This window comes from Homo sapiens, chromosome 7, assembly GCF_000001405.40.
Source record: "Homo sapiens chromosome 7, GRCh38.p14 Primary Assembly".
Lineage (NCBI taxonomy): Eukaryota > Metazoa > Chordata > Mammalia > Primates > Hominidae > Homo > Homo sapiens.
The window spans coordinates 53598063-53604938 of NC_000007.14; the positions used below are offsets into that span (position 1 = coordinate 53598063).

General features: G+C 41.4%; 1 annotated feature.

Annotated features, from left to right (window-relative positions):
- Positions 6048–6593: an enhancer, noted in NCBI's record as "NANOG hESC enhancer chr7:53671803-53672348 (GRCh37/hg19 assembly coordinates)". NCBI's record gives its function as "activates a minimal SCP1, AML or CMV promoter by ChIP-STARR-seq in naive H9 embryonic stem cells {active_cell/tissue: H9 hESC(naive)}" and the evidence as "EXISTENCE:reporter gene assay evidence [ECO:0000049][PMID:30033119]".

Below are 6876 nucleotides of genomic sequence, written 5' to 3' on the forward strand. Positions count from 1 at the left end.
AGATCATGAAGTGTTTGTCTTTCAGTGTCTGGTTTATTTCAGTTAGCATAACATCTTCCAGGTTCATCTGTATTGCTGCAAATGGCAGGATCTCTTTCTTTTTAGAAACGAAATAGTATACACAGTTCTTTTAATATATCCTTTGAAGTATGTATACAAATGAATAGTTTATATTATCAGTACAGATCAAAATTAGAACACATGACATACATGTTTCAGCAACATCCTGTTTCTCCACACACTGAAACATTAGATGAACCTATGAGGATATTCTAAAGTTATTTCCCACAGAGGCATCTGTCATTGCTCAGAGGTTTACGTTTCATGCAACAAATCAACAAACTAATGAGGGAATTACGATTTTACTGCATAGTTTACCACACTTGTTTTTAAACTGCTATTTTTGAGACATGTGAAAGAGTTCATTGGCATACACAGTTTCCTAGTTATGTGCAGGACTTACAATCCCAATTCTAAATGAAAATTTGTATTGAGCATTTATATTAGGCCAAGAAGAGACCCAAACTAGTAAGACTGCATCAAAGATATTAAAGGAATAACTTATAAAATGTTATGACCATTACACATATCTGAAGTAATGGAGGCTTGTGTCAAATGTATTCATTCCTTCTCAGGTGCATTTGGTTAAATATCTCAGAAATTCCCTACATAAAAGCGAGTTTTAGAAGGTACATTCTTCAAAATCCATTAGACTGTGCTACAGGAAACAATAAAATAGTTTGTAATTTCTGTTCTCAGCAATATTTAATCATGAAATTTTGGATCTAAACTTCGATTCACACTCTCTGATTTGATTACATTATATATTATCCTGGAACTCGGTCATTGATAGACTAAAATTGATTTTCCTGCAAACATGGAAAATGCACAGCCACCTCAATGTTTATTTTGTTGCCAATTTTGTCTAGAAACAGTTCTGTTCCTCTCTTCTAAGGTGTATAATATCAGCATGTATACTTAGCAGTGAAGGATATTCACCTGTGTGAAGCCTTGGACCAGCAATAACAAATATTGACTTTATTGTTTATCTCTCTTTAAAGATTTCAGGTATTATATGTGTACAACCACATTTGAAAGTTTGCAGTCATAATGTCTCATTGGTTTTTAAGGATAGTAATGATTAAGTTGCAGAGTCCCTAATGATCAGGGTCTATAACTAAGTTATAAAAATAACCACAAACTTCATCTTCCAACAGTACTATGAAGTACATAGCCAAAAAGTCTTTCTGCTAAAAAATATTTAGATGTGGGCTGGGTGCGGTGGCTCATGCTTGTAAGTCCAGCAGTTTGGGACGCCAAGGCGGGCGGATCACGAGGTCAGGAGTTCGAGACCAGCCTGGCCAAAATGGTAAAACCCTGTCTCTACTAAAAATATAAAAATTAGCCGGGCATGGTGGCTCACTCCTGTAGTCCCAGCTACTTGGGAGGCTGAAGCAGGAGAATCCCTTGAACCCAGGAGGCAGAGGTTGCAGTGAGCCGAGATTGTGCCACTGCACTACAGCCTGGGCAACAGAGCGAGACTCTGTCTCAAAAAAAAAGAAAAATATTAGATGTTATGCAAATGATGTGAAACATAGCTGAGCTTGCAAAAGTGATAAGACATATATCAAAGTAGGTAGGAGACTACTTGCTTCTTTGTTTGTTTTTGTAATTTGATCGTGAGTTCCTTCTCTAGAGACTGGATCTAAACCTCAGCCCTGCCCTGATGGGGCTCAAGGAATTTGTTCGTAGATGTGTATATTGTGCCTTTCAGGGTACTTCTTTATTGCAGCGGACAGCCTAATGCTGAAGTGTGACCAGGTGTGCCCCTCACAGGAAACTCATTTATATTGGAAGATTCCCTTGTGGCTCCTGTCTGACATGTGTTCAGTTTATTCCTATGAAGATAGCCACTCTCTGTGAGAACAGGACCAGAAAAGAAATTGGGTTTTGGTGTATTGGTAAGGTGAGATACAGGGGAAGCCACTCGACAAAACGCATGAAATAACAGAATCAGTTTAATACTCACAGATACCACAGAGCAGGGGGCAGCACACCTGGAAGCCCAGAGGAAAGCGGGAGCTGTCTGGGACACACACACTGATGTACTGAGTGGAGAGCAAGAGAGAGATGGGGGGACTTGTGAGCTGAAGCTTTTATTGGGTCCCAGGGTACCAAGCAGGTTTCCCTTGTGACGTTCTGATGGGTGGGCTTCAAGCAAGCAGGCATGAGCTCTGTGGAGTCACGCTATGACTGAGAGATCGCCACTGCACCATATCTGTGCAGTTCACACGGGGCATGGGAGTCAGTAGGACAAGTCAAGTAGGTTGTAGTGAGCTGTCCCATAAAAAGCTGGTCACCAGGAGCTGGTTGTATAAGACAGTTATCTGGATTGACAGCCTTGAGGAACTGGGGAGGGCAGAGAACTGAAAATTGTGTCAAGGGTGACTAAGCCTTGTGTATGGTATGAGAAAGCACAACTTACAGTCAAAGAATAATGCTGAGGCAACATAAAAGTACAGGAATTCACTCAAAGATGGACACTAGTATGAAACTAGACACCTGGATATCTTGAAGACAAACGCCTTCCAAAAATAAGAATTTTAGTTATAATGAGCAAAAACACAAGGAAATGATCACCACATCCACATACAGCTGGGACATTTTGAGGAGGCTACATCCTGCAGGCAAAAGAACAGGTGGATATCAATCAATCAGTCAGCCAACCAATCAACCAACCAATCAACCAACCAAGCAAACAAACAAACAACCGCTCCCTTTTTCTGGGAGCAGAATGGAAATTGCCTGCTCATGTTTCTGGTTTAATAGCTTAGACATAGAATTTTTAACTATTAGTCTATTCTAGAATAAATCTTTAATTCAATTTTATATTAAATTTACAGTTATAAAATTTTCATGTAAAATTGTATTAAATAGTAATTTATATAAAATACTCAATGGAAAGGTTAAATATCAGAGTATACATAATTTAAAAGAGATTTGTTGAGCTGGAGAATAGATCAAAAAAATTTCTCAGAATGCACACAAAGATATTAGGAGATGATACATTTGAGAAATAAAGGTTCTGAGATGTGGAGGCAAGGAATAGAAGAACAGTGAACATTTACACAGATCTGCAGAAAGGAAAAAAGTTATAAGAATAAAGCTTTGAAAACATAATGCTTTAGAAAGTTCTAAGATTGATAGGCTTACAGACACAGGAACCATAACATATTTCAGTAGAATAAATAGAAAATCTACGCGAAACTGAAAAACAGTAACAGAAAATGAGAAAGAGTGAGGAAGACTATTTTTAAAGTAGAGAGAAAATTACAATAAATAAATATGTGAGAGTGTATGTATTGGAAGTCAGAAGATACTAGGAAAATATCTTCACTGTGTGGTGATGGAAAATAACTTTCAATTAAGAAATGCATAAGAAAATAATCCTTTAAAAATAAGGGTAGAAGAAAGATGATTTCAATTTAAAAATTAATTGAGAAATTTATTTTCAAAAAAAATCTTAGTAAAGAATTTCCAAAAGCATATTATAAGAAGTAGCAAACTTCCAGACAAAAGATTGAAATGTTGGAAGCAATGAAAAATAAAATAATAAACATGTGAGTAAACATAAAGAAATATTGCACCAGGTGAGGTGGCTCATGCTTGAAATCCCCACAATTTGCTAGGCCTAGATGAGATCATTGCTTGAAAGCAGGAGTTTGAGACCAGCATGGTAAACAAAGTGAGACCTTGCATCTATAAAAATAAAATGAAATAAAATAAATTATCCTGTGTACTAGGCCATTCTTGCATTGCTATAAATAAATATCTGAGACTGGGTGATTTATAAAGAAAAGAAGTTTAATAGGCTCACAGCTCTACAGGCTGTACAGGAAGCAGAGTACTAGAATCTGCTCCTGGGGAGGTCTCAACAAAAGTAAAAAATAAATATTGTTTTGACTGGGCTTGGTGGCTCATGCCTGTAATCCCAGCACTTTGGGAGGCCAAGGTGGGTGGATCACCTGAGCTCGGGAGTTTGAGACCAGCCTGGCCAACATGGCAAAATCCCGTCTCTACTAAAAATACAAAAACTAGCTGGGCTTGGTGGCACATGCCTGTAGTCCCAGCTACTTGGTAGGCTGAGGCAGGAGTATCGCTTGAACCTGGGAGGCGGAGGTTGCAGTGAGCTGAGATCGTGCCACTGCACTCCAGCCTAGGTGACAGAGCGAGATTCCATCTCAAAAAATAAAATAAAATAAAATAATAAATATTGATTTATAGAACAATATATTTAAATGCTAAATTTAGAAGTTAAGATAAAATATGGAGCAACCATAGACTAAAGTGTACTGCATACCTTATACAGCACTCTGCTAATTTTAACTTCTTAGTAGAGAAATTAACATTTTCAGTTTTAACCACTAAAAGTGTAGTAATGGAGTATATAACTTCCAAAATTGGTAGGAGGTAGAAATGGAATGAGATGCAAAACATCATTAACGTAAAGGGAAGGAAACAGGTAATGAAGGAGGAAGACAAGGAAGGAAGAAAATAAAATAAAGTAAAATACCTAAATATTTCAAGAAAAGCTGGAAAGTAGGAAAATAGCTTAAAGCAAGCCATAAACAAAACAAAATAAAATGAGATGCAAGTAAGATGGCAGACTAGAAGCAGCTCTTGAACCACTCTCAGGACGAGGAAACAAGGTGAATGGTGAACAATGGCCCTGAGTAATGACTGTGAGCCGATCACCTAGGAAACACTGCAGGATCCATCAAGGCAGCAAGGGATGCAGAGGACAGAGACGGGCAAAGCTGGGCAGCATCCCATCTAGGACCAGTGCAGAGCCAGGAGAAGCTCCCAACAAGAGAAAAGAGTGAGTGAGTCACAGCCCCCAGGGGATTCACACTTCCCGCAGGGACCTGCCCAAGCCTGTAAATGAGAGGAATGTCCTGAACTTCCCCAGGGCCTCTAAACTGATAGAGCGCCCAGAGTTGTTGAGGAGACAACATGCAATATCCATGGAGACCTCCACAGGTCTCAGACCCGGAGCAGCCTGGCGCCAGTGCCCTAGCCACAATAGAGGCCACAGAAGCAGTGCCCAAGAGCAGTAAATTTGCTCCACTCCCCTTCACTAGGCAAGGCTCAGTGCCAGATTCCAGCACAGTGGCCCTACTTCTGCCTGAACTGTGCAGCCCAGTGCATTCCTGTGGTTCCCCCAAGAAACATCTGGAAAACAAGGTGGGCAACTGCAACCACTCCTGTTGCTCGCAGCCCCATGCCTTTTGGGGCTACCAGCACAGCAGACCCACTCTGCCTGAACTCTGTGGGTGGGTGCAGCTCTGTGTTCCCCCTGGGAAGCACCCAGTTAGTGGATTGGGTGACCCCATCCACCTCTGCTCCTCCTAGTCTGGCAGACCACACCAGTTGGGGATTCCCACACAGTGGACCCATCTCTACCTGAACTTTCTGGGAGGTTGCAGATCCATGTTCCCTGGGAAGCACACAGATAGTGGATTGGGTGACCTCACCCACACTCACTGCTCTTAGCAGATGGGACTCACGAGCATGGTAGCACTCAAGCACGGCAGAGCCCTCGCTCTTGAAACAATGGGAGTGTTGAGGTGCCTGGATTCATGGGCTGGTGGAGGAGCGGGGTGTGCCTCCCTCCACAGGGCTGGCACAGAAAGCGTAGTGTCTGTCTGCCAACCACAACCCCTGCCTGCCAGAGCACCTAACGAAGGAAATGTGAGCATGGAGCCAATGATCAGATGAGGCTCCTCCAAGGCTCAGGCACAGTTCAGGTGAGGGGTCATCTCTCTCTTCCTCAACCACAGAGAACTACTGCCAACTGTGCCAAAACACAAAAGAGCCCTTTGGCTGAATAAGAGTCTATCTGCCAGCCAATACTCTTAAGCATCAGCTACTGGGTCAGAACGCCAAAACAACACCAAAACATTTTGCCAATATGCAGTGCCTGTGAAAACCAAGGAAAAAATTCGGCCAGAAATAGATTCTGTACAGAGTCCTGGCCTTCTCAAAACACCCAGAAATGGAGTCAACTGACTATACTCAACTTATATCACAGTTAAAGGAACATCAGCCCTCACACATGAGAATCAACACAAGAACTCTGGGAACTCAAAAAGCCAGGGTTCCCGCTTACCTACAAACAAACACACTACTTCCCCAGAAATGGCTCTTAGCCACACTGAGATGTCTGAAATGACAGATATAAAATTCAGAATCTGCATGGCAAAGAAACTCATGGGAATCAAAGAGAAAGTTGAAACCCAATCCAAGTATCCAGGGTTGAAACCTAATCCAAGGAATCTGAGGAATCCAGCAAAACAATCCAGGAACTGAAAGACTAAACGGTTATTTTAAAAAAGAATCAAACTGAGCTTCTGGAACTTGAGAATCCACTTCAAGAATTTCTCGGCCCGGCACAGTGGCTCATACCTGTAATTCCAGCACTTTGGGAGGCCGAGGTGGGTGGATCACGAAGTCAGGGGTTCCAGACCAGCCTGGCTGACATAGTGAAACCCTATCTCTACTAAAAATACAAAAATTAGCTGGGCATGGTGGCGTGCACCTGTAGTCCCAGCTACTTGGGAGGCTGAGGTAGGAGAATCGCTTTAACCCAGGAGGTGGAGGTTGCAGTGAGCTGAGATTGCACCACTGCACTCCAGCCTGGGCAACAGAGAGAGACTCCATCTCAAAAAAAAAAAAAAAGAAAAAAAAGAAAGAAAAGAATTTCTCAATACAATCAGAAGCATCCACAGCAGAATAGATCAACCTAAAGAAAGAGTCTCAGTGCTTAAAGACCAGTTCTTTGAATCAACTCAGACAAAAACAAATAAAAAAGAAATT